Source organism: Homo sapiens, chromosome 11 (genome assembly GCF_000001405.40).
Source record: "Homo sapiens chromosome 11, GRCh38.p14 Primary Assembly".
Taxonomy (NCBI): Eukaryota; Metazoa; Chordata; class Mammalia; order Primates; family Hominidae; genus Homo; species Homo sapiens.
The window spans coordinates 69,941,110-69,968,521 of record NC_000011.10 but is presented as its reverse complement, the minus strand read 5'-3'; the positions used below and the strand labels follow the sequence as shown (position 1 = coordinate 69,968,521).

Below are 27,412 nucleotides of genomic sequence, written 5' to 3'. Positions count from 1 at the left end.
TTTTATTGCTTAATTCACATTCCTCCTCCCTCTGTCTTGACTCTCCGACACGTCGAGAACAAACCAAAAATAAAAATCCGTTCTTTTCCAGCGAATTTGCTCATTTTTGCAAATGCTCACCCTGTCTGCCTCTGCCTTTGGAACTTGCTTCCAAAGGAGGCCAGAGGGCCCCAGAGGCAGAGGGTCATCCCTGGGGGTCGTTCCTGCTTTGGCCCAAGGGGTCTCTGGGAAGGCAGCTCCCCACCCACCACCACCCCTGGCTCAGGCCTCTCTCAGGGAGGCACCAAGAATGGCCTCCTCCTCCTGCTTTGTACTACAGGAGAGGACGTTCCAGCCAGTGTTCCCGAGTTCCCACAGGGCCAGGGGAAGGTGGTCAGCTTCCTCACTTGCTCATCCATTCATTCATTCACTCGATAAACCTTGGGATGAAGGATGGGGCTGGTCGGATAGATATAGTGGACCCCAAAGTCTCCCTGCCCACCCCTGATGCCAGGAAGGCCCTCAGACACCCCACCTCCACTGAGCAGGAGTCCCTGTAAGACAAGATCAATGCGAGACACAGCAGGCCCAGCAGCCACTCCATGAGTGTTGCTGAAAATGGAATCTCTCATCCAACAGGGACCCAGGCCCAGAGAGGGGAGTGAACTACCCAAGGCCACACAGGTAGAACAGGGCAGGCCTCGGGCTAGGACTCTGAATTCTCAGCCCCTCTTTTCAATGTCTCCTTTCTCTGCACAGAAGACTCTGCAGAGGGACATCCAGGGTTACTCACAGCCCTCACCGGACCAGTTGTGTGGCCCTCGGGCAGGTGACTGGATTTCTCCAGGCCTCAGCTTTACTCTTGTGTAAACGGGGGCCGTGACAGCATTTAGCAGGTGCCAGGCCCTGTGCTCAGAGCCCTTGACATGTTTTCATTTATGCACTTTCCCTACTCCAGAGTCCTCTGGGGTGGATGGCATTATCAGCCCCGCTTACTGATGGGTAAACTAAGGCAGAGACAGGCCAGGCAACTGGCTCTGGGTGGCCCAGCTCATGAAGAAGAAGTCTGAGATGGAATGCGGGGGCCTGGCCCCAAAGCCTTGAGTCACCACCAGCATCGGACCAACCTCCTAGGACCTGATGAAGCTCAGGTGCATCATGGCTGAAGGCTACGCTCAGAGCCTGATGCTAGCTAACGTGCGATACCGGCGCTCAGAGCCTGATGCTAGCTAATGTGCGATACAGGCGCTCGGAGCCTGATGCTAGCTAACGTGCAATACAGGCGCTCGGAACCTGATGCTAGCTAACGTGTGATACGGGCGCTCGGAGCCTGATGCTAGCTAACGTGCGATACGGGCGCTCAGAGCCTGATGCTAGCTAACGTGCGATACAGACAGCGTGTGGTTCTCCAGGGAGCTGGTGGACTGTGCCCTCAGGGGACATTGGGCAATGTCTGGAGACATTTTTAGGTTGTCACAACAGAGGGTAGGGGTGCACTGGCCTCTACTGCGTGGAGGCCAGGGATGCTGTAAACATTTCCCAGTGCCCAGAACACCCCTAAGATGAAGAATTGTCCCCCTGCAGGGTCACCAGTACTGAGGCTGAGCAGCTCTAGGGTTTGTGATCATTGTTCTCAGGAGGGGTTGTTTGCCACCCTAGAAGGTGCTTGCATCAACTCACCCACTGTCAGGCCCTGCCCACCTTGGGGGCACCTCTCTTGCCCTCAATCAACTGGGCAGGGTGGGACACTGCTTAGAAGTCTGCTCTCTGGGTCCTCCCCATGCTCTCTGCAGGGTCCCAGGGGGCAGGCTGGGTGTTCTGCCTAGGCAGGGTTGACAGCAAGTGATGCTCTCCTTGTCCCCTGCCTCTCACCCCAACGCCCCAACCCCATCCTTACCTGCCAGCAGAGGGTCCAGCGCTGTCTCCTCCATCGCCAGCTCTTCCATCGCTCTTTCCTCCATCCCACTCGCCTCCCACATGCCGGCCTCGGGCTTCCCAGTGGCAGGTCCGAATGCCAGGGCCACCCCACCCGGCGACGCAGCACCTCCACTGCTGGAATCTCAGGTGAGGTGGCGTGGCGGGGGCTGGACCCAGGCTGCTCCCAAATTTTGCAAGTGGGATTTGCAAAATGAGTCAGCAGGGCAAGAAGGCTGAAAACCAGGTGGCAGGTGTGGGTTAATCATTACCCCGTAGACACTTCCCCTGGATGCCAATAGACCCCTGAGGGCAGGGCCTCCTCCAGCCACGCCCATGGTCATGGGTGTCCCATGATCATTTAGCTGTGGACAGCCAGGGTCAGTGCCCAAGGATCCTCTCTCCCTCCAGGGTATGGCTTCAGCTTTGAAAAGCCACGGTTGCAGGTGGCCCTGTTTCACAGCCTGCATTAACCCCCTGAGCAGCGACTTCCATTGCGGGGCCACCCTGAGTGCCTCCTTTGTTTCCCAAGCAGTGTCAGGTGCTTAACCTCCTTTTTTTTTGGATATTCTCACCAACCCTGCCCTGAGGAGCTGTATATCTCCATCTCATGAAGCAGCGTGGCAGGGCCTGGGGAGGGGCCTGGGGAGGGGCCTGGGGTAGGGCCCCGGGAGGGGCTGTGTGTAGCAGCAGAGCTGGTTAGGAGCGAGGAAGAAAACACGTCAGGGCAAGTTCTTTCTTTCCTTGGGGTCTCTGTTTCCTCAACGGATACACGGGGGTCACAGCTGCACATGCTTTGCAGGGCTGTCTTGAGGATTAAATGAGGTAACGAGAGTAGAATGCTGAGCATGGGGTCCCAGCACACAGTAGGTGCTCAAAAAATGTTGGCTGATTTTCATGTCATGGGGTTGTGTCCAGCAGGCCAGGAATCCTGGCCTGGTTTGCTTGCTGATGGTCAGCACGTGGCCGGTACTGGGTGAATTTCTGTTGGATGAATGATGATGCCCAAGGTCTGTGCAGGCCAGAGGCTTGCCCCGGGTGGGTCTCACGTCCAGTGATGTGCTCCTTTAAGAAGTCACACTGGGGGCTGGGCGCAGTGGCTCACACCTGTAATCCCAGCACTTTGAGAGGCCGACGCTGGGGGATCACCTGAGGTTTGAGACCAGCCTGACCAACATGGTGAAATCCCGTCTCTACCAAAAATGCAAAGTTGACCAGTTGTGGTAGTGCGTGCCTGTAATCCCAGCTACTGGGGAGGCTGAGGTAGGAATCACTTGAACCTGGGAGGTGGAGGTTGCAGTGAGTGGAGATGCTGCCACTGCACTCCAGCCTGGGTGAAAAGAGCGAAACTCCATCTCAAAAAAAAAAAAAAAAAGTCACACTGGGTCCCTGGTATTATTGGTCATCTGGGAAGGTACATTGCCCTTCTTTCGGGCGGTGGGTTTAAGGCAGCAGTAGCTAGGTGTGGCCAAGGGGCTGTGCCCTTCATTGTCCCCATGGGCCACTTGTTCTGCCTGACAGTCACCATCATCACAGACTCAGGGATGGCAGAGCCCTAGCAGCAGTGACGGCGGTGACAGCACGGTCACCCTGCACACATGCTGCTCACCTGGTGGGGAAGCTGTGCACATCTGGTGGGGCCGTGAGAGAGGAGGTGGGAGACCCCTCCAGGGGCTGGGGGCAGCTCTCAGCTGGAAGGGTGACTGCCAGGGGGTAGCAGGCAGAACAGCTGAGGACACATTTGCTGCTGGCCTCCCCAGAGGTCCACTCTGGGCTCAAGAATTTTATTCTGCTTGGCTACCTCAGCCACTGCGGATCCATCCTACATGACCTCAGAGATTCGAGGAAGGTAAATTAGAAGCTGTCATTGGCAAAAGATGCAATAATACATTTCACTCATTCCCTCATTCGTCCATTCTCCTTTTCAGAGAAAACCTCTGCTGAGCACCCACGGGTTCTGGAAAGGGTGTCCGGGTATGGAGAGAAGGGATCAAAGTAGACGCAGTTCCCAACCTCATGCAGTGCCTGAGGAAGTGCCCGGGGTCTCACCGGACAGGTAAAAATCCTATTTTGAAGGTAAGATTGATGCTGTTCCATTTTGTAAATCTATGCCCTCACCGCGGCTCTGTAAATGTGGTCTATGCAGACAGTACAGAGTTTTGCTGGAGCTGCTAGAAATCCCCTTAGAATTTTCTTAGCTGGAGGTTAGGCTAGGCCCCATCCAGGGTGCAAATGCCAGCAAGTTGAAGCTTTGTTTAGCATTTAAAGCCTCCTAATGGGTTTTAAACATTTACACTTGTCTTATTATTAATACCAATTACTAAAACTCCACCCTGCCAACTGTGTCTCTCATTTTATAAATACTGTCGGGACAGAAATGTTGCCCAAGGCTATTAGCTGCAGCAGCAACAGGTCTTATTTGCAAAAGAAAGTTTGCAATAAATTCTCAGGGGAGAAAAAGGCACCTCACAAATGGAGCTCTGAAATTTGCCCTTTAAGAAATGCCTCTGTTTTCACTCAAGCCCTGAAATAAATTTTCAGGGGCTCTCCCCACCTTTAAATCATGAATGTGGAAGTTCAAAGCCAGGTGCTGCCACTCAAGGGAACCGACGGCCTGGGGCTGAGACTGGGTCACCTCTCGGGTTTTAGTGTGTATTTAAAAAGTGACACATGGTTGTTTCTGTAAAGAAATTATAACTGGCCTTGGACAGAGTTATTGGATGTTGGGAATGGAGCCCCAGTGAGAACTGCATTTCTTCCCAGTGCCTTCCAAGCTGCCCTGTCCAGGGTCTGCTATAAACAGTGAAATGTAATATTGCCTTATTTGGTCACAGAGCCAACCTATCGCTTGCAGAGGCCTCTTTGCCTTTGACTTTGTGAGAAACGATTAATTCTGTGTCCTTGTTGGCCAGGCAGTGGGAGTGTGCGTGCTGCCCAGGCTTCAGGCCCCCCATTTGGATGGAGTTCCAAGGGTCTGATGGGCTTTTAGTGCATTTTTCATGCACGCAGCGGGGGGTGCTGCCTGCACTGGGGAAGCAAAGGACCCAGATCCCAGGACCTGGAGGATTTTGCAGAACCAGATCAGGTGTCAGAAGAGCCTTGTGGGGTTTTTTTTTTTTTTTTTTTTTGGTGCAATGTATAGGTAACTTACACAGATTTTTCCCTCCCCCTCCCCCCTTCCCCCTCCCCCCTTCCCCCTCCTCCTCCTCCTTCTCCTTCTTCTTATTCTTCCTCCTCCTCCTTCTTCTTCCTCTTCCTCCTCCTCCTTCTTCTTCCTCATCGTCTTCTTCCTCCTCTTCCTCTTCCTCTTCTTCTTTTGAGACAGGGTCTTGCTCTTTCCCAGCCTGGAGTGCAGTGGGGCCATCATAGCTCCCTGCAGCCTCAATCTGCTGAGCTCAAGGGGTCTTCCCACCTCAGCCTCCCCAGTAGCTGGGACTACAGGAGTGCGCCATGACACTTGGCTAATTTTTAAAATTCTTTATAGAGATGCGGTCTCACTATGCCACCCAGGCTGGTCTGGATCTCCTAGGGTCAAGCGATCCACCTGCCTTGGTCTTCCAAAGTGCTGGGATTACAGGCGTGAGCCACCATGGCTGGCCAGTTTACACAGATTTTATAAAGCCAAGCTGAGTGTCTCAGAGCAGAGCAGGGCTCAGGGATGGAAGGTGTCCCTGGGGTTTTGTGGTGTTTAGGGAATGCACAACCCGGGCAGGGCAAGCGAGAGTAAGACCATCAGGCTCAGGGCTTGCCACTTACCATGCACCCTGGACAGAGCTCATTACGTAGAGGAGGGGATGATGGGTTTCCATTGGAGGGGCTGTTGTGCTGAGCCCCTGGGGCTTGAACTTGGGCCCTGTTGGGAACCAAGCAGAGGACTCTCCTTCCCCACCAGGAGTAGCTATCTGCTGAGGAGGCTGCCCAGAGAGGGCCCCGTGCAAGTTCCCTGTGGGGCCAGCTGCCTGATCCCCTTGGTGCAGGCATAGGACAGTCCCTTGTGCCTCTCTGGAAAAGCGGTCTTCCCTGGTGGCCATCTCTTGAGGGGTGGTCTATTGCTGGGGGCCCTTCTCCTCAGGTCGGAGCCATCATGGGGGTCTCTGTAGGCTCAGTTGCTGTTCCCATCCCTGGGTGTTTCCTCTAAGGGACAATCTGGGATGGACTGAACCACTGCCCCAGGGGCGGGGGACAGTGTGATTCACGGAAGGGAAGAGGAAGTACAAAGGGGCCATGACTCATTGGGTGGCCTGGATGCGGGAGGACATCACAAAGCAATGGGCGGGGTGGAGCTGGGGTCTGCATCCGCCAGCCCTGGGCTCAGCCTTCAGTCTGGCCATGTCCCCGAGTGGGGGCCACGTCCCCCGGTGGGGGCCACAGGCAAGTCAGCTCTTCCTTAGCCTCTGTTTCCTCATCTGTAAAGTAGGCTTGCTGGGACCTGCCTGGGAGGGCTGCAGTGAGAAATTCCTAAGATGAATCGGTATTGCAGAGAGGCCAGTAGTGCGAAATTGATGGTGGGATTAATTAATACATTAAATGACAAAAGGCCACCTAAATTTTCCAGAATTCCCTATTATTTCACTTACAGTTCATTTTAATGGCACAGGAGAGTGCAGCTTCCAGGAAGTATCCTAAAGAAAGGGGCATTCTCTTCCCCTTTCCTCTCCCAGTGCCTTCTGGCTGAGGCAGGGCTGTGATGGCCGGAGCCACAGCAGCCATTTGGGATCATGAAGCCATGAAGTGGCTTTGAGCATGGAGACTTCGCAACGCAGAGCGGCAAAACGTGAGAAGCCTGTGTCTGAAACCGGGCGCACCCATCCTCATTCGTGCATCCTAGGATTTTTTTTTTTTTTTTCGAGACAGAGTCTTGCTCTGTCGCCCAAGCTGGAGTGCAGTGGTGCGATCTTGGCTCACTGCAACCTCTGCCTCCTGGGTTCAAGTGATTCTCCTGTTCAGCCTACGGAGTAGCTGGGATTAGAGGTGTGTGCCACCACACCTGGCTGATTTTTGTATTTTTAGTATAGATGGGGTTTCACCACATTGGCCAGGCTGATCTCGAACTCCTGATCTCAGGTGATCCACCTGCCTCAGCCTCCCAATGTGCTGGGATTACAGGCGTAAGCCACCGGGCCAGGCCTACCCTGGGATTTTTACATGGAAAATGAACAAGTTTCCTTTGCCTAGGACAGTGCATAAAAGTACTTTGGGAACTATGAGGAGCTCTGCAAAAGTGAGGTAAGGACCCCAGATCCAATTTCCAGGGTAAAGGACAAGTGAGTTTACCCTCTGCTGCTGGTTTTTCACCTTCACAGTGGGTCCAGCTTGAACTATTATTCAGCTTCCCGTCTTTGGCCCCTCCCAGCAGTGATGCCTTTGAACCCACTGTCACCATTTGGCATCCTCACTCTGTCCTCTCTGGACACCCAGCCCTCCCCATGACCCCCTGCACTGTGCTCCCTGCCCCAGGCCAATTGTCCTCCCCTGTTTTCAGCATTCAGAGTGGGACTCTTACATAATCCTGGGATCTGAGGGGGACTTCAGAGAGCATTGGTTGCAGCTCTCCCCAGCATGGGCTGTGCCACGTGACATCTCCCAGCCTCTACTGAAATGCTTTCAGGGACGTGGCGCTCACCACCTCCCTCACAGCTTGATCATCTTCGGCCAGCTCCCCATACTGTGAAACATTTCCCACAGCTGAGCACCAACTGTATGCCTTGGGGCATCCTCCTCCACCCTGTGTCTGCCCCTTGGCATCCAGGAGATCCAGTCTCCTCATTATTTCATTCTGGTAAAGCTTCCCAGAGCACCTGAGCTCTGCAGTGCTATACTAGGCAGTGGGGGGACAGGAACAGGCAAGGGCCTTGCTTCGAGGAGCTCACTTTCTAGTGAGGACCACTACAGTGTGAATAATTATGAAAGCAATGAGCTAATTAATTGTAACGACCACAAGCACCACAAAGACGCCCACAGAGCTGCGGGTGTGTGAAATGGGGGCTATCATAAACTTGGTGGCCAGAAAGGAGTGGTAAGGGCAGGCTATGGGGACCAACCATTCCGCTCTGCCTGGGACCATCCTGGTTTTAGCCCTGAGAGTTCCACATCTCAGAGAACCCCCTTCATCCTGGAAAACCGGCTGATTGGTCACTGTAGGGCAGTCTCCAAGTGTGTTCATGTCTTGTGGCTGCCATAACAAATCACAACAAACTGGGCAGTTTAAACAGTTCTGAAGACTGGAAGCTCAAAATCAAGGTGCCGGCAGGGTGGGTTCCTTCTAGAAGCTCTGTTCCAGGCCACGCTCCAACTTCTGGGGGTAGCCGGCAATCCTCGGCCATCCAGGTTTGCAGACATGTGGGTCTGATCTGCCTCCAGCATCACACAGCCTTCCCCGCATGTCTCTCCAAGTCTTATTCTTTTCTGTCCCTTACAAGGGCAGCCATTATTGGATGTAGGGGGTCACCCTAATCCCGGATTATCTCATTTCGTAGTCCTTACCTCAATGACATCTGCAAAGACCTTATTTCCAAATAAGGTGATATTCACAGGGACAAGGAGCTAGGACTTGAACGTGTCTTTTGGGGGGCCACTATTGGACTTGCTATACCAGAGAAGGAAGTTGTTGCTGCAAATGGAAGGACACAATGACTTAGCGAGGCAAAGAGGCGATGGGAATTCCAGGCAGAAGAAACAGCAGGCACAAAGGCCCTGTGGATGGAAGGAGACTGATCCATTAGAGAACTGAAGGAAGCCTCCCAGTGTGGCTGCAGTAAGAGGGAGAGGAAGCAGGCATGGGGGCACCCATGCAGGACCCTACAGGCCACAGGGAGGAGTTTGGCATTTTTCCTGGGAGAAAAGGGAGCCCCCAGTGAATGACAAGCTGGCAGGGCCTGGAGCAGCCCTCCAAGTGCCACCCTGGCTGCTCCAGTGCCCGAGCCTTGCTCACTTCCCTAGAACCCCATCTGCCGGGCCACAGTTGGCAATGGCCGGGTAAGCAGACAGAGCTACCTGCACCACCTGCTCTGGGACAGTGAAACGTCAGCTGCAGAGGCTCGCCCCAGAGCAGCCTCGCAGCTGGGGATGAAGCCTGCCAGGGCCTGACCTCCAGGCCAGGAGTGCCTCCTGGGGGCTCGGCTGCTGGCTCCAGCCCCCGGTGAGGCCAGCCTTGCCTCTTCCTCCTCTCTGGATGGAGCTGGGCTGACCCACGTGTGTCAGGGGCAGGGAGGAGAAATGCCCAGCTCCCATCCTTGCTCTGTCCCTTGTGAGCCGTGTGATTCTGGAGACGTTATTTACTTCCTTACTCTGGTTTCCTCATCTGTGGAATAAGGTGATGCTCGGGTCCATATTCTGGGGTGTGTTGTCACGACAAAACAAGTGAAAAACCTGGGGCAGAGCTGAGACCAGGTGAGCAGTGTGGGAGAGCAGAGGGTTCTGGAGGCAGCCCCACCCTGGCATGCAGAGCTGCCTTATCTCCACCATGACCTGAGATGTTGCCTGAGCCATCACATGCCACTGAGCCTGTGCCCCAACATCTGTCAAATGAAGGAGGTGACCTTGATGATGATAAAGATGCTGGACAGTGGACACTTCCTAAAGCTTCAAAGGATGCCTGGCCCTTTTACAAACCTCAATTTCTCATTTGACATTTAAACCCACTTACACCCATTTAGCTGGTAAGAAAACTGACACCTGAAGAAATTAAGCAACTGACCAAAATCGCCTCTTGGTGAAGGGGTGGCACTAGGACCTGGATTTGGATATTCCAGGCTAGTCTCAGTGTTGAGAGGCTGTGGGGTGTCTGAGTCTGAGGAGGCCAGAAACCCCCCACCCCCACCAGTCCCGACATCCCTGCCTCCCTGAGGACAGTGGAGCTTGCACCTGGCTGGGCTGGGCTCATTCTTGGTTGAGATGAGGTTGTTGGGTTTCCAGAAACATCTCTTTAGAAACTTAAAAAAATCCTGGTCATTAAGTGATTAAGTAGAGAGGCTCTCATGGTACAAACATCTGATCTGAGAGTTGCTCCTTTTCCAAAAACCCTTCCCATAACTAAGAACAGTGGATTTCATTCTGCCCATTAAACTTGAACCCTGCTTATCATTTTCCTACACATTATGTGGTTATTTTGAATTGTCTGCAAGAATGCCTGAAGCTAGCAGGGTTTGGCAGGCATCCCATTAGATGCTTTTGTTTGGACCTAGAGATACCATCATAGCTGTCTTACACTGAGAGACTTGAGAAAAATTGAAGTGTAGTGTTTTTCCCCTTCTAAGACCGTCCCGGGTTCTGCCTTCTGGGCTGGGATCCTGGGGGAATGCATAGGAGACCTTATTTGGGATTATTGAGTTCCTTGGATTTTATGGGCATTAAACAGTCACTCTAAGCACCATGTCGGAGCTCCGGTTTCTGCTGCGGTAATGGCTTAGGAGGCTGAGCTCAGAAGGGAAAGGAGGTAGCAGCGGATCTGGTCACAGTTTGGGGCTGCAGTGTGGCCTGGGTGAGCCACATGACCTCTCTGAACTGTCTCCTTCTCTGCAAGGTGCTGGTGCTGGTCACCAGAGGTGCAGGACAAGATAAGAGGCTGTGAAAGAGAGAGAGGAAGTCCCTGGTGCTGAGCATCTTGGGAAGAGTACAGAGAGCCAAGGCTTGGGGAACACTGGCCATGGGCCGGAGCTGATGCAGGCACTTCGCATGCTCATTCAGTCCTGACAACAGCCCTATTGAACAGACAAGGAAACCGAGGCTCGGAGAGGTTGGGTAACTTGCTTGAGGGCACACAGCTTGGGAGTGCTGGAGCTAGAGCTTGAGCGTAGATGGGTGCCTGCACAGCTGGTCCTACCACCCCCCAGCCACTCTCCACCATTTGTTAGATGCAAAGTGCAGAGGCTTTGACCTGTTGCTAATAGTCTCCCCAGCAGCTCTGCAAGGGAAGCTTTTCAGATACCTTTTCTGTGGGGTGGGTGGCGGGGGAATATAAGATGGTGCATCCACTGTGGAAGACAGATTGGTGCTTCCTCAATAAGTCAAACATAGAGTTACCTTATGACCCAGAAATTCCACTCCTAGGTGTATACCCCAAAGAATCAAAGACAGGCAGGCGTCCCGTTAGATGCCTTGTTAGACATTCAAACCAAAGCTGCTACATGAATGCTCATGGCGGCACCACTCACAGCGGGCAAAAGGTGAAAGCAACCCAAGTGTGCATTGATGGATGGATGGAGAAACAAAATGTGGCCCATCCACACAGTCGGGTGTTATTCAGCCACAAAAAAGGAATAATGCACTGGCATGGGGCACAGCATGGATGAACCTATAAGACACTGTGCAACTCAAAGAAGCCAGTCGCAAAAGACCATCCAATGCATGACTCCATTTATATGACATGCCCAGAATAGGCAAATCCATAGAGACAGAAGGTAGGTTTGTGTTTGTCAGAGGCAGGGGGAGGGAAATCTGAGCTGCCCCTGCAGGCTGGGGTGGGAGCCATTGGAACCAGCAGCAGCTGAAGGGCCAGGGCACCCTCCCACTGCCATGCTGGGCTGGATGAAGGAAGGGGAGCTTGGGGCCTGGCCTGCTGGGAAAGAGTGGAGGGGAGTGTGCGGTCACCCCTTCCTCACTGTGATCTTAGGGGCCATGCCTCCTTGGCCATCTGGTTTGGGGGAAGGAGTCCTGACTTTGGTGCCAGACCCAGGTTTGGCTCCTCCCCAGCCACTGTCAGCTGTGTGCCCCTGGGCCTGTAAGTGGGGGACTGAGAGGCCCAACACCCGGAGGAGGCTTCTGCTCCCACTGACTGGGCTGGCAGCCTGGCTCGCATCCTGCTTTCCTCACTGACTAGCCTCGGTTTCCCCATCTGTAAAATAGGGGCAATAAGGGCGCCTCCTTCCCAGGGCTGCTGCACAGCAGAGAGAAGTTTGTGAGTGTAAATGTGCCAAAAGGTGGCCGGGCATCCCTCGGTGAACGCCAGCTGTCCCTGGTCCTTCCTAGGGCCATGATGAAAACAAAGGAGACAGTCTGGGAAACGTCTGGGGAGGAAGAGAAAGGAGGCCGTGGTGCTGGGCACAGAGGCGCTTCTACATTCGGGTCTTCCCTCTGCACACCGCTCCACCCCTGAGCCGTTCCAGGAGTCAGAGGTGGCAGAGCTGGCTGCCTCCGGAGTAGACTGATTTGTCTCCTGGTGACAGCTGTGCCTGCAACCCTTGCCCGGTCCTCAGCTGTGATGCCAGCGTCCAGGAATGCACCATCCCACAGCCTTCAGTCTCTTCTCAGGAAGCTCATGCATTAAAGCTGAAAGGATAAATAAATGCCGCAAGCTGTGCTCAGGCTGCCTGCCCCGCCGATGCAGGCATCTGCAAACACCAGGGTGCACGAGCCACACGCTGGTGCTGTGCAACAGCTTTGACTTCTCCCTGTTAAAAATGGGGTGCGAAGGAGGCCCTGCAGAGGACCTGGCAGCTCCCTCATTCGTCCTGGTGGGTATGGACTGGCCTCACCCGGCCTGACCTTGGCCCAAGTGTGTCTGGGCTTCTGCAGACCCTCCCCACCACACCTCTGCCAGGACCTCCTTCCCTGCACAGACCAGCCTGTGCTTGCCCCCTGCTCTCTCTCTTACCAAGTGCCTGCCTCTGCCCACGAGTTATTTGGTATGTCCTTCTATTCTTGCTTTCTTTCTTTTCTTTTTCTTTCTTTCTTTCCTTTCTTTCTTTCTTTCTTTCTTTCTTTCTTTCTTTCTTTCTTTCTTTCTTTCTTTCTTTCTTTTTTTTTTTTTTGAGACAGAGTCTTGCTCTGTCGCCCAGGCTAGAGTGCAGTGGTGCAATCTTGGCTCATTACAACTTCTGCCTCCTGGGTTCAAGCGATTCTCCTGGCTTAGCCTCCCGGGTAGCTGGGATTACACCATGTCCGGCTAATTTTTGTATTTTTAGTAGAGATGGAGCTTCACCATGTTGGCCAGGCTGGTCTTGAACTCCTGACCTCAGGTGATCCACCCGCCTCGGCCTCCCAAAGTGCTGGAATTACAGGCGTGAGCCACCGCTCCCGGTCCACGCTTTCTCTTTTCCTCCTCTCTCTCTCTCGCATATCTCCGCCTTCCACCCCATACCAAAGCTTGTTGGAGATGTGGGCCGGCTCTCCTCCTGGTCTTCAGGGATTTGGATAAAAGCAGATTGAAATTAAAATAAGAACCTACTAGGTCTAGAAACCTTGATGTTAAAAAAAAAAGAAAGAAAGATATTAAATTAAATCTGTGCTCCTAATTTTACCCAATGGGAAGTAACTGTACTCATTAACGGAGGAGCGTATCGTTTATAGGATTTTTGACCTAGATAGGCTCCAAAGGCACACGGATCTCAGGTAAGCCCATTGGCCTTGCACACAGACCAGGGGGTCCCAAGAGGTAAGGAGAAGAATGCCTCATTTCAGAGCCGGCCTCACAGGCGTGGGACCCCTGCAGTCCCAGAGAGCCCTGCCTCAGGCAGGCCCTACGCTTGGTTTCATGCTCAGCAAGCTCTTAATTACTTTGTCATTGACCTTGTGGTTTTGAGTGAGAGCTGATGGAGGGTGCACGAGAGCAAAGGATACAGGTGTGCAAAGATGTTCACCCTTCACTGCCACCCATTTGCAGACAGCGTCCCTGGTACAAATACTCATAAAGCACAGAGTCCGAGGCACCCGCGATGCCTGGGCGTTCAGTGGAGCCCAAAGTGAGGACAAGGTCAGTGTGCGAAGGCTGAGTGCCCGGGACCCTAACAGCCCCTCGGGCCACGTATTCCACTCAAGCCAGAATTCACAGAAGAAGGCAAGAGAGTTCTAAGAAACACAGACGACCAAGCAGGCCATCCTGTCATTTCTTACTGCTAGCCGGCCCCTGACACTGGAAATGGTGACCTAGAGGGGACGGAAAAGAAGTGAAATAAAAACAGCTGAGATGATTTTCTGCTGTGCTTCCACTACTCTTGCAGAATCTAAAATACACAGGTAGGCCGGGCATAGTGGCTTGCACCTGAAATCCCAGTACTTTGGGAGGCTGAGGTGCGCGGATCACTTGAGGTCAGGAGTTCGAGACCAGCCTGGCCAATATGATGGGACCCTGTCTCTACTAAAAACACGAAATAAGTTAGGTGGGCTTGGTGGCGGGTGCTGTAGTCCCAGCTACTTGGGAGGCTGAAGCAGGGGAATTGTTTGAATCCTGGAGGTGGAGGTTACAGTGAGCCAAGATCACGCCACTGCACTCCAGCCTGGGAGACAGAGTGAGACCCTGTCTAAAAAAAAAAAAACCAAAAAAACAGGTTGGGCGTGGTGGCTCACGTCAGTAATCCCAGCACTTTGGGAGGCCGAGGCGGGTGGATCACCTAAGGTCGGGGTTCGAGACCAGCCTGATCAACATGGAGAAACCCCATCTCTACTAAAAATACAAAATTAGCTGGGCGTGGTGGCGCATGCCTGTAATCCCAGCTACTCGGGAGGCTGAGGCAAGAGAATCGCTTGAACCCAGGAGGCAAATGTTGCGGTGAGCCGAGATCGTGCCACTGCACTCCAGCCTGGGCAATAAGAGTGAAACTCGGTCTCAAAATAAATAAATAAAATATATAGGTATGTATGAGCTATGAGATCCGAATGGTGTAATTTCCATGATTCTACACGTGTGTTAAATGCTCTTCTAGTTGCATCTTGCAAGGTAAACATGAGCATGCTGAGATGCATGCCAATCATTTAACATTTTAACTTTGCTCTATGACAACAGGAAAGGCAAACAAAAAAACATCATAAGAAGCCAAGAAAGGGGCTGCAGATGAGAGGAAAAAGCTGTCTACTTTTGTGCCTTGAGTCATGTTTCTTTTCTCTGTTTTGTGAACAAGGGGCCCCACATTTTCATTTTGCACTGGGCCCTGCAAACCATGTAGCCAGGCTGGCCCGATTTTCATCTGCCTTCTTACAGGGCTCTTTGCTTATGAATGTCTCTCCAGTAAATGCATCCATTCATTCGCGCCACAACACAGGAGACCACTTTGCTACCTGGGTGCCCTGTGACAGGTGGGGCACCGAGGTGTCTGCTCCCTCCCGCCTCTCCTCTGCCCCGGAGAGTGGAGCAGCCTGGGCCTTCCCTCCACCAGGATTCAGGTCCCTCAGCACAGCGTTCATTCCTGCACCACCTGCTTTGCCCAGCTGCGCTGTGATTGCGGACTTCACTCAGCCTCCATCCCTCCTCCAGTCTTGCCAGCAAAGCTCCAGCTCTAAACTGGATTGTTCCATCCAAAGGTGCTGCTGGCTCATGATTTCAGGGACTCCTCATCCCCACAGGATAAAATACATTCTGCTCCTGCATGGGCTCCTGCCCATCCACATTTCCCTCACCCTAACCATGGCTCTCTTTTGCTGGGGAACCCCTGGCCACCAAGACAAACCATGTGGGCTTCAACATGCCTCTCCCACAGTTCAGAAGTCCCCGCTTCCTCTTCAAGCTGGTCTTTTCCAGCGCCGAATTGTCTGTGAAGATGATGCCGTCCCTCTCCCCCTTCCCCATCTGGGAGACCCTCCTTGTAAGGGTTCTGGGCTTCCCTGGCTAGCTTGCTCTGTCCCTGTCTCTTTCTCGATCTCAGTCTCTGTCTCTCACCTGTCTCTCCTTTTCTCTGTCCCTGTCTCTCTATGCCTGTATTTCTGTTTCTCTCTCTCTCTCGCTATCTCTGTCTCTGTTTCTTTTTCTGTCTCTCTGTCTCCCTCTGTGTGTGTCTCTCTCTGTCTGCTTCTGTCTCTCTCTCTCTTCTCAAATCTTTCCTTGTTTTTTAGAGCTGCCTGTTCATCTGCCTGCTCCACAACAGGGAAACCATAATGACCACACTCATCGTCTTCTTATCATAAACTGTGTGTATGGTACACGGGCCCAGTGCTTGGCTGTGCTCACGGCGCACCAGCTCTTCTCACCCCATAAACTGTGTATGGCACACGGGCCCAGTGCTTGGCTGTGCTCACGGCCCACCAGCTCTTCTCACCCCATAAACTGTGTATGGTACATGGGCCCAGTGCTTGGCTGTGCTCATGGCCCACCAGCTCTTCTCACCCCATAAACTGTGTATGGCACACGGGCCCAGTGCTTGGCTGTGCTCACGGCCCACCAGCTCTTCTCACCCCATAAACTGTGTATGGTACATGGGCCCAGTGCTTGGCTGTGCTCACAGCCCACCAGCTCTTCTCACCCCGTAAACCGTATATGGTACATGAGCTCGGTGCTTGGCTGTGCTCACGGCGCGCGGGCTCTCGCCCCGTCTGCCTGCTGGGCTGCAGACCTCACTCACCCTCCCTTGCTCCTGTGAATCCCTTTGGCTATTGGGTTCTGGCGTGGATCCTCAGAGAGGTGCTCTCATTCTCCCTGTTCTCCAGATGAGGCACCTGGAGCTCTGAGAATCTGAGTGACTGATTCAGTGAGCCTGGCTCTGCCCACCCCTGCCCTGGCCCAGGCAGACCAGGTGCTTCCTAGACATCTGTGGGGCCTTCACCTGCCTGACCTGACCCTGAGTCAGGAGATGCCAGGACACTGGGCTCAGCTGACAGAGGGGCCCTCTGCCCACCTCCCAGCTGACAGGAGACAGGGGTGCCGAGTGGTGGGGAGCTGGTGGTCGTGTCCCTGACCCCCGAAGGCAGGGTCCTGTGAGAAGGAGCCCACGTTGGTCAGGGAGCCCTTCACGGACGCCACCATGGTGAGTCATGGGCTTCTGTAAGCAAGGCTGGCCCTGCGTCACTCGAGTGACCCCCATGTCTCTGAAACTGTCCAAGGGAGGCTGAGAAGGGCTTGAGCTCCTGGGGCCCAGGGAGGTATGAGCCCTGTGGTTTTCCCTATGGGTAAAGGCAGGCTCTGTCCACTTTGGATCCACCACTGAGGATGGGTGGGGCATTGGGAATTCAAATTAGTCTCCGGATGCTACTCCTGGGCAGCTTAACTCTGGCCAAGTTCACTTCGGTGAAAACGGAGGGTCTTCTGGGGGCAGCGAGGATCTCAGGATGGTGCTGCGGAGTTCAGGGTCCACAGAAGGCAGTCCTTTTAGGGTCTCTGGTGTGGAGGCCAGCATCCCCTTGACCTGCCCAGAGCTCAGTCCCTCGAGGCCTCAGTCCAGGGCCACCTGTCCACCATCCTACCTGGGCCCCCTATCCTCATGGGGGGCCAGGACAGAAACATTCGGTGCAGAGGCGAGAGGAGGAAGGAACTCACAAAGAGCAGGAGTGATGTTGAGGCTGTGGCTCCAGGGGTGACCTGCTCCACCCACCCCCTCCAGGTATCCCCCCAACACTGCCCATGTTTCCTTTGACTTGGGTGTGAAGCCCACCAATTAGTGAATAATTAGGCTCTGAAACCACTTCTGTAGAGAATGCTCCTAGCTCTTAGAGGGGTCACTATCTATCAGCCACTCTCACTTTAGTGTGAATTTGTTTGTGCAGTGTGCTTTCCTGCTAACACCCAAATGAAGATGCCCTGCACTGCTGGGACAGGCTCTCTTGGGGTGTGTCTGGGATCCCAGGACACGGAGGAAGGTGAGTGCTACCCGTGGGAGCTTGAGCAAGCAGCACTGGGACAAACAAAACTGCCAAATAAAGGAGGAAGGAGGACAAAGTCCCATTTCTTCTGTTTCAAAATGTTCCTAATAGTGCGGTCCTGAGTTGAGGAAAGGAGAACTTGTTCTTCCTCCTCTTTCTCTTCCCTTCCCCCGGTGCCTCTCCCTGCCCAGCTTCCCCTACTCCTCCTCCACCTCCAACCCAGGGTCCTACTCCCAGAACTCAGGATCCAGGCCGTTATCATCAGCGTCAGACTTCAGTTCCAACTGGCAGGGTGTCAGGTGGAGTGAAATGTCACTTTTTTTTATTGTGGTGAAGGGTGGGAAGGTGCTATCTGCTTTTCTGACTGGAGGGATAAAGAGAGTGGTGGCGTGGAGAAAGGCTAGGTCTGTGGGGTCTGGAGAGGATGAGAGCAGAACCTTCTGTGCCTGACAATCTCCTTCTCTCCAGGACCCCTGTTGAGCTGGTTGCTGGGAAGGACGTGGCCAGATCTGTCCAGGGAGCAAGGAGCCTCTTGGTGGGATGGGAGTAGGAGCCCTGGCCCCCTTAAGAGACTCTTGGATGGACTAGAATGGTTCCAACTGAGGTTCACGGACAGTAGAGGGCCCTGAGAACCCACAGTGCTCAACGGGACCCCACCCACCGGCTTCCCAGCTGAGCACAAGGTTGCAGGGAGTTGGTCCTGCCTATGTAGCGATGGGGGCTCCTGATGGGGAACAGTGGCGAGCCTTGAATCCACAGCCCTTTGGAGCCAAGCATGGGGCACCAGGAGGGCCTGAGCAGGTCCCCCCATGGCAGGGAGCCTGGATGCACAACCCAGTGTTCAACAGCGACACCCTGTGGTGGCAACAGAAACAACCTCGGTCAAACCAGGGGCTCTGTGGATTGATGGTCTAGTGCCCTCTGTCTTTGGCTTGGAAATCAGAGTGAATCCTATGGGCTGTGTAAGTCCTAATGTTCTTGGACGGTCTACATCAGTGGGTGAGTCTTCAGGAGGAAGAGTCTAGGCTTCCAGCTAAGATGGGCAATGATGGTACAATGAATTGGAAAATGAATCGATTGTTTAGGAAGCGACTGCACCCATATCTAGGTGGGTCCTAGTCATTCTGCTAGTCGTATCCCCATGGGCTGCACGTGTGTGGGTGCTGGACCCGGCACTTTGTTTTCCTGGGATGCATTTTCCTGCTGAAGCAAACAGCTCTCTCTCTCTTCCCCCATGACCTGTGGAACTTGGTCAGCCGCATCCAGTTCTTGTGACTTTCCAAAGTGTTCGACAAGGTCCCTCGGTCACTCTCAGGGTCTCCTGGCTCCATGGGCTGAATGGTGAGCCAATAAGCCAGCCTCCCTGCCTCCTTCCAGCCCTTCTGGGGGCCAGTGTGGGCACCTGCCACACTGCAGCACCCAGAGGCAGAGTAGGGTCATGGGTGAGGCCAGCACAGGACAGCCTTGCACTTGGAAGGGAAATCCCTTCATTCTCAGGAATGCAGGCCCACACTGTCTCATTGTTCCTGCCCAGTTTGTCATCCAAAGAGCTGCCTCACCACTCCGGGAGAGGGCTGGCCTGTGTGAGTCACCAAGAAGTCCCCGGTGGGGAGCCTGATTCTTTGCACTGGGGGTGACATCACCCAGCAAGTCCAACTTGACCCATAAGCCCCGATGGCCAATTCCAAAGCAGTGCATGTGCCCGGGAAGATGGCCACATCCGTGAGCTTCTGCTCCGCATCCTGATCCTGCTAGGAGCCAGGGCCTGGTTTACCCCAAATTCTTCCCAGCAGTGGACTTAATGGGCCACCCCAGGTCCCTAAGAGCCACCCTCCACCCTCCTCCCCAGCCCTGTGCCCTGGGCGCTGACCTACAGGGCTGTGCATGCCCCCACATCCTCCTTGCCCTGTGTCCTCTGTTCAGTTTGGCTGATGGGAGAATAATTTTCAGGGGAGAGAGAAGTTGAGGAATGTGTCCCTGGCTCCCTGTCTGCCATGGCCTGGTTCCTTTGCTAAAGGAGGTGGCTTCTCCTGGGTGGTCCTTCCTCCAGCCTGGCTCCAGCCTGTTCGGCCCCCTTTGGGATGAAAGACTCCACAGCTCCCACCTGCTGCTGCCAGTGGGGGGGCTCTGGGCACGCCCCCTTCCTTGGGTTTCCCCTTTCTCTGCTCACACCTTTTATAATAGTCCCTTCATTACACTCTCTCAGATCCCCCTTTCGGGTGGGTCACCGTCACCCCTCCTTATTGGCACGCTTCTAGGGATGGGGCCTCATTCCTCCAGGAGGCCGGGCAGCACAGGCTGCCAGAGGGCTCTTTCTCTAATCGTTTAAAATCTGTCCCTTATCACGGCCACTCCTGCTCATGAGGACAGCACAGCCGGCTGCTCCCTCCACCGTGAGTCAGCCTCGCAGATATCAGGAGGCCTCCAGCCCAGCGCTCCTGGAAGTTTGAGCCACCCTGTCCTGTCCTGCCCCTCCCCTGCCCGGTCTTTGTTCTCTGGACACACCCTGGTGACTCAGGGTCCCCTTGACGAAGTGAGCCCAGTGTGAAGTTGTGCCCCCTTCGCTGGTGTCAGGCAATGGAGGGGCTCAGATCAGCAGGGAAGACCCAGGACCTGGAGGCCGGTGGGGAGCAGGGCTGGGGAAGCTACTCCGCACTCACTCGTGGGCACGTCTAGGAGAGCAGTAGGGTGGGGGCTCGCTGAGGCTGTCTGTGGACTCAGCATTGCCCACCCAGCACAGGCTCTGGGACGCCACGTGCACGCTCACTGTGAGGGGCAAAGGCTGCCCTGGCAACCAGGAGGAACCGCAGCTCCACCTGGCTGTGAGTCAAAAATACCAGGGAGTTTTAAAAAAGCACCAGTACCCAGGGCCTTTCATAGACCCACAGAACCAGACTCTCCAGGGATTTCAAGAAAGTTCTCGAAGGATCCTGAAGTACAGGAGGTTGGGGCGTGTGGCCTGGATATGGCCATCGCTGGCTGCAGGGCCGAGCCGGTCAGCTCAGGTGGGTGCCATGGGATGGGGCGAGGCCGGCCATTTTCCCTGTGCCAAGGAACACCCAGGTGAACTGGGATGGGTGTCACTCAGAGCTGAGGCCCTTGGGAGATTTCCATGAGCTGTAATGCTCAGAGCCTTGGGGTTGCCCCAATGTTTCAGAGTATTCAATGGGCCTGAACGGGACCACTGACCTCTCCGGGTTTTCATCTCTTTGTTTCACAATGTAGAACATTTGGGAAGGATGGAATCTGGACGCGTGGGTTTCCCTGCCTCTAGGCTTCTGAATTCTGTCTTGAGCTCACACGAAAGGTGGCTTTGCCTCTAGATTGCTTCTAGAGTTGTGGCAACTTTATGCAAGTCAGATCAAAGTGCTCCTTCTACAAGACACACCATTTCCACCCAGCAGAAAATCATGCAAAGATGCAGAGGTGCAGTGCCTGTGCTGAGAACAGTGCTCCTAAGGTGCCGCACTCTCCTGCAAGGCAAAATGCATACCGATGTGGGGGCGCGGCTTCCACTGAAATCCAGGCAAACTCTGAACTTGGAGGTTTTATATTTAGGTTGTATTAGTAATTTTCAATTCATAATTCATAATAAATACTTGTATTATTAATTATTATAATTAATACTTGTATTATTAATTATTATAGTTAATAATAACTAATTATTATAATTAATTATATATTAAAATATATTAAAAATATATTAAAATATATTGTATATAAAATATAATATAATTAATTATATATTTAAAAATATAATTAATAATAACTAATTATATTATAATTAATAGATAATTAATATTATGATTATTAATAACTAATAATTAACTATGATAATTAATAATAACTCATAATTAATAATTAATAATTAATAAAGGAACAGAGGGGAAGAGTTGCTATGGACTGAATGTTCGTGTACCCCCAACATTCATATGTGGAAACCCTAATCTTCAATGAGATGGGTTTGGGAGGTGGGGCCTTTGGGAGGTGATGAGGTCATGAGCTTGTGGTCCTCATGATGGGATTAGAGTCCTTACCAGAAGAGAGGCAAAGAAATGCTTTCTCTGTGTGTCTCCGTCTCTGTGTGTCTCTGTCTCTCTGTCTCTGTCTCTGTGTCTCTCTGTGTGTCCCTGTGTGTCTCTGTCTCTGTGTCTCTCTGTGTGTCTGTGTGTCTCTGTGTCTCTCTCTGTGTGTGTCTCTGTGTCTCTGTATGTCCCTGTGTCTCTGTGTCTCTGTCTCTGTTTCTCTCCCCACCGTGTGGGCACACAGTGAGAAAACAGCTGTATTAGTCATGCTGCCTATAAAGACATACCCAAGACTGGGCAATTTACAAAAGAAAGAGGTTTAATTGGACTTAAGTTCCATATGGCTGGGGAAGCCTCACAATCTTGGCGGAAGGCAAGGAGGACCAAGTCCTGTCTTACACGGATGGCAGCAGACAAACAGAGAATTTGCCACTCCAAGGCAAATGGCCTCAAACACCCCCATAAACGCGTCTTTTCTCTACCACAGGTGTCTGTTTTTGTTTGCTTCCCTCTTTGTGGCCATCAGAGCTCCACCTTCTCTGCCCGCCTCCTGCCAAGTGCCTCTTCTCTAAGTCCTAAGCTCCCCCACACGATGTCAGATCCCCTTCAGCCAAAGCCAAAACCCCTGATAAAACCCTCAGATCTCATGAGACTTATGTTCACTACCACGAGAACAGTATGGGGGAAACTGCCCCATGATTCAATTATCCCCCAGCGACTCCCTCCCACAACACGTGGGAATTATGGGAGTAAAATTCCAAGATGAGATTTGGGTGGGGACACAGCCAATCCATATCAACGGCTATCTGCAAACTAGGAATGGAGTAAGTGAGCCCTCACCAGACACTGTGTCTGCCAGAACCTTGGTGCTGGACTTCCAGCTTCCAGAAATGTAAGTAATAAATGCCTGCTGTTGCTAAGCCCCTCAGCAACAAGACATCAAGCTAAAAAGACAGACGAGCACATAGCACTCCATGGCAAATGGCCTCAAACATTCCCATAAACACATCTTTTCTCTACCACAGGTAGAGTCCTTACTCTTGTTTCCCTCTTGTGGCCATCAGAGCTCCACCTTCTCTGCCCACCTCCTGCCAAGTGCCTCTTCTCTAAGTCCTCAGCTCCCCCACATGATATCAAATCTCCTTCAGCAAAGATAAGCCTGCTTCCTTGAGAGGCCTCCCTATTAACAGAGCAGGGGTACCACCATGTTAAAGCTTAAGCCTCAGCTTGGAGGGGTCATGTCCCTCCCACCTCTGCCCCCGTGGCTTACCATAGTATGCCTTCTAATTACATCTGCACTCCCCGGCAGGCATTCTGGTAAGTAGAGTTTCCCCATTTTGTTTCATACAGAGGAGCACAAAGAAGAAAATTAAAACCATAAGCAATCTTGCTGTTGGAAGGTATCTTTTATTAGTCTTTAGTCCACTGTGAAGCACCTTTCTATGATGTTGGGTTTCCCTGATTTGGAGCATCCCTGAAACATATAACTCACTCACTCACCTACCCAGCCTTTCACCTACCCATCTACCCACATATCTATCCATCCATCCATCCATCCATCCATCCATCCACCCACCCATCCATCCATCCATCCAGTTACCCACATATCCACCCATCCATTTATCCATCATTCATTCACACATCAACCCATCCACCCATCTATCCATTCATCATCTGTTCATCCATCCACTCACATAGCTATCCATTAATCCATCCAGCCAGCCATCTATCATCCATCCACATATCCATCCACCCACTCATCCATCCATTACTCTCATTTCCTTCCTCTTTTCCTTCCTTCCTTCCTTCCTCCCTCCTTCCCTCTCTCCCTTCCCTTCCCCTCCCTCATTTCCCTTCCCTTGCCTTCCTTCCCTCTCTCCTTTCTTCCTTCCTTCTACCCATCCAGCAAATACTTGCTAGGCACCTGTCATCTCTACTGTTCGTGCTTATTGTTGACTGTAAAATGAATCTTTCTTTATTGAGGTCCCTCAATAAAGGTGGGAGCCAGGGGAGGGCCCTCTGGGTTCTTCCAGCTCAGCAAAGGGTGGGGTGACAGCATGGAAACGTGGTGTTCTTTTTGCATGACCGGGTGGAAGATTAAAATCGCCCCTGGTAGAAAGGAGTCTAGTCTTGCCAGTGCTGCAGATTCTTGGTAAGATCACTTCAAATGCTTAACGTGATACATGGTTCCACCAAGTGACAGAAATGTGAAAGCAGGTGGGGCAGTGGAGCCAGCCCTGTCTTATAGGAGATGATGAGGCCTGGAGGAAGGAGGGAGGCGGGGATTCAACGGAAGGTGCAGAGGACACTGAGAAAGACTTCCCACTGCTGCTACCATTTTGCTCCAGGGAGTCCTGACATCTGACCAGAGAGAAGGAAGGCCCACAGACAGCAGGCGTGGGGTCCTGAGAGTGCTTTCCTCCATGGTGTGGGGGATAAGGTCTTCTCCCAGCCCCGGCCTTCTCTGACCTGGAGCCCAGAGCCCAGAGCCCCTGGCACTGGCAGGTGGTGGATCGGCTGGTGCTGCCAAGGGTTGGTCTAGTGAGGACCTTGGCCTCCGGAGCCCTAGAGAACAGCAGCCTTTGTGAACTCCCCTGTGTGTGCTCATTCTGCTCACGGGGCTTCTGTCTCAGTTCCTCTAGTGTTCCAGCCCCTTCTGCACCCCGGCTAGGAGCCTCTTCCAAAACCCTGTGCAGCTTGGCTGGGGTCTGGGGGCCTGACTCTTTGCCAGCCCTTTCCATTCCCTAGACACTAAGCATGCGGCACCACATGGTCGGGAGGTGACCCTCCTGCCCTGTCCGCACCCTGCAGGCTCCTGAGCAGGCACAGTTCCAGAGTGAGTAAAAAGGAGGGACCCCATTGTCATGTGAGGTGCTGATGGCTTTATCAGTGGGAGTCTGCATTTCCAGGGAGATGTGTGTTTGTCGGGAGACTTGGTGGCAGAAGCATTTGAAGTTATCTTACCGAGAATCTGCAGCACTGGCAAGACTAGACTCCTTTCTACCAGGGGCGATTTTAATCTTCCACCTGGTCATGCAAAAAGAACACCACGTTTCTATGCTGTTACCCCACCCTTTGCTGAGCTGGAAGAACCCAGAGGGCCCTCCCCTGGCTCCCACCTTCAAACAACACCCTCAGCACCCCCAGCACCTCCAGCACACCCATGGAGAACGGGCTTCTTCTCTTTCAATGACTGGAGCCCAAGGGTTGAAGTTGGGAAGGGCTTTCCAGGATCCTGGGACCAAGATCTGAAGCCAGCCCGGGGGCCAGCCTGGGACAGGGCCTTGTTCTGGGGCCAGTGCCCGGCAGACACAGAGTGGGCACTGAGGCAGTCTCTTAAGCCTCTCAGCGGGGAGTCTTTACGGTTGTTCTCACAGGGCTGGTCCTCGGAGACTCCCGGCACTGGCTTCCGGGTTTGCCTGGGTCAAGCCCTGTAATAGCCTCCCTCCTGGGACCTGGTCTCTCCATTGCAGCTGAGGACGAGGCGTGGGAAACAGCAGCAGGCTGAGGCGGCCTCAGGGCCCCTTGGATGTGGCCCCCACCTCGCTCAGGTCAGCTTCCCCAGGAGGCAGGAGGGACCCTGGGCAGAGCAAGCTTCCTGTCCTCTGTGTCTCCTCCCTGTGCAGTGGGAACATCCACTCCCCCCACGCCACTTCCCATTTTCACACAGGCCACTGGGAGACTCCTCAGGCCTCAGGCTCTGAAGGAATTCCACTCACAAAGCTCAACTTTCACGGATCCCTTTGTGTTCCCTGCTTCCTGCCTGCCAGACTAGTTTCACCCAACCTCTGCCAGGTCTCAGCAGTGGACTGAATTCACGGCAGTAGCCTTGGTGACCCCTAGTGGCCTTCCCTTCTCTGGAGTAGACCTGATCTAGCCTCAACACCAAACTGAGACCTCAGCCTCAACACCTGGCTCAGCCTCAACACCTAACTGAGACCTCAGGCTCCCCACTGTCCTACAGATGGTCCCCCAGTGCCATCGCCGGCCTTCAAAGGTTTCCACCATCTAGAGGAGAAGCCGCTTGGGGCACCAGTGTCTGGGCTGCATGGTGCCCTCAAGAGCTGACTGCAGTCTGGAATCTTGCCCTCTGCAGCCAGGAGAGACAGCCCTTGTCCACGCCTATTTAATCCATTCATTTACCCACCCAATGACTGTGGAGCCCAGCCTATGGTACAGTTACTATTTGGTGCTGGAGATAGACAGTTTAGCAAACCACAGCCCAGCCTACCTTCCTGGAGATTAAAATCCAATGGGAAATCAGACATTGATCAAAAATGTACACAAACGTGGAAAACAACATCTGGAGTTGATGGAGACAGAGTGGTCCCCAACACCTGCACGCATTTGTCCTTGCTGGGGAGGGCAGGGCACACTTGAGTTGAGGCCTGAAGGCTGCAGAGGACAGGAGGTGAGCCTCCAAAAGGCATAGCAGGGTTTGCTTTTGGGGTGGGGCATGCATCGGAGGGGGCAGGATGGAGGTGGGGTGAGCAGCTAGGGAGTCATGGCAGGTGTAGGGCGGGAAGTGATGCTGCGGGGCAGTGTGGCGCAGGTGGGGGAGAGCAGACACATTTGCCATCTCTGCAGAGCCACTTTCCCTCCTGAGATGAGCCAGGTGGCAGCAGGCTCTGGTCCTGACCTCCAGCATGAATGCGGCCTGAGCTCTGCCATGGCCCCCCTTCGCCGGTTTTCCCTGGCTTTTGCTCTGCTTATTTTTCCAGGGTCACCACCTGTGTCTGAGCTCTGCCATGGCTCCCCCTCACTGGCTGTCCCTGGCCTTTGCTCTGCTGATTTTTCCAAGGTCACCGCCTGTGGACGGGGGTACCCTGAGCTGACGATGCTGCCCAGGCAGTGGTCCTGGGCCATGGGGCCCTGCCATGGCTTCCCCCAATGAGTCAGCCCTCCTTCGGCCGACTCCTATGCACCCCTTTGCCGTAAAGGCCTTTTGCTTTTCTGCCCGGCTCCAGACAGGCACTGTGCACTCAGCCCTGCCGTTCCCACTCAACCCTAACCACTTGGCCTGAGAAGGAGCCTCCGGCTCCTGTGTTGAGTGGGTGGGGAGGTAGCAGCCCAGCCAGGGCCTCGGTAGGCAGAGCTTGACATCCGGACAGGACCCTTGCTCTCTCCCTCCCTCCTTCCTGCTATCTGGGGTCTGCGGAGCTTCCCAGGGATTGGGTGGGCTGCTCAGGTCAGGGGTTCTTCATCAGGAAGAAGTTGCCCCCTGGGGACTTTGGCTATGTCTGGAGATACTTTTGGTTGTCACAACTTGGGTGGTACCATTGGCATGTAGTGGGGAGAGGCCGGGACAGCCCCCTACAACTAAGATGGTTCCAGCCCCAAGTGTTAGTAGTGCTAAGGGTGAGAAGCCCCACCCCCAGGGAGCCCAGCCCAGTCTCGGGCGGCTTGGTCTTGGGATTCCTGTGATTCCCCTGCACTCACATTGGCCCCTCTGGGGCTGAGAGCAGGAGTCCACTATTTTTCCATCTTTTGTAAAAATTTGCTGTGGAAAACAGTGTGGAGATTCCTTAAAGAACTAGAAGTAGAAAGACCATTTGACCCAGCAATCCCACTGCTGGGTATCTACCCAGAGGAAAAGAAGTCATTATATGAGAAAGATACCTGCACACGCATGTTTACAGCAGCACAATTCACAATTGCAAAAATGTGCAAGCAGCCCAAATGCCCGTCAATCAATGAGCGGATAAAGAAACTGTGGGATATATATACGATGGAATACTACTGAGCCATGAAAAGGAATGAAGCAATGGCATTTATAGCAACCTGGATGAGACTGGAGACTATTATTCTAAGTGAAGTAACTCAGGAATGGAAAACTAAACATCGTGTGTTCTCACTCATGAGTGGGAGCTAAGCTATGAGGATGCAAAGGCATAAGAATGATACAATGGACTTTGGGGACTCGGGGGAAAGGGTAGGAAGGGGGTGAGGGATAAAAGACTACAAGTTGGGTGCAGTGTATACTGCTTGGGTGA

General features: G+C 53.3%; 1 protein-coding gene across 1 annotated transcript in view, besides 4 other annotated features; it reads right to left on the bottom strand.

Moving 5' to 3' along the window:
- Positions 1–2,525, bottom strand: part of ANO1 (anoctamin 1) — a 223,534-nt gene extending 221,009 nt beyond the window's left edge. The window contains exon 1 of the mRNA XM_047427185.1: positions 1,877–2,525. Within this exon, the coding sequence (XP_047283141.1) occupies positions 1,877–1,958 (82 nt within the window). The 5' untranslated portion in view covers positions 1,959–2,525. The remainder of the gene's footprint in view (positions 1–1,876) is intronic.
- Positions 1,406–2,189: an enhancer, noted in NCBI's record as "H3K27ac-H3K4me1 hESC enhancer chr11:69812439-69813222 (GRCh37/hg19 assembly coordinates)". NCBI's record gives its function as "activates a minimal SCP1, AML or CMV promoter by ChIP-STARR-seq in primed H9 embryonic stem cells {active_cell/tissue: H9 hESC(primed)}" and the evidence as "EXISTENCE:reporter gene assay evidence [ECO:0000049][PMID:30033119]".
- Positions 2,974–3,757: an enhancer, noted in NCBI's record as "H3K27ac-H3K4me1 hESC enhancer chr11:69810871-69811654 (GRCh37/hg19 assembly coordinates)". NCBI's record gives its function as "activates a minimal SCP1, AML or CMV promoter by ChIP-STARR-seq in naive H9 embryonic stem cells {active_cell/tissue: H9 hESC(naive)}" and the evidence as "EXISTENCE:reporter gene assay evidence [ECO:0000049][PMID:30033119]".
- Positions 19,001–20,200: an enhancer, noted in NCBI's record as "P300/CBP strongly-dependent group 1 enhancer chr11:69794428-69795627 (GRCh37/hg19 assembly coordinates)". NCBI's record gives its function as "activates an origin of replication core promoter dependent on BRD2, BRD4, P300/CBP, MED14 and CDK7 cofactors, with strong dependence on P300/CBP, by STARR-seq in HCT116 cells {active_cell/tissue: HCT116}" and the evidence as "EXISTENCE:reporter gene assay evidence [ECO:0000049][PMID:35650434]".
- Positions 24,438–25,339: an enhancer, noted in NCBI's record as "H3K4me1 hESC enhancer chr11:69789289-69790190 (GRCh37/hg19 assembly coordinates)". NCBI's record gives its function as "activates a minimal SCP1, AML or CMV promoter by ChIP-STARR-seq in naive and primed H9 embryonic stem cells {active_cell/tissue: H9 hESC(naive and primed)}" and the evidence as "EXISTENCE:reporter gene assay evidence [ECO:0000049][PMID:30033119]".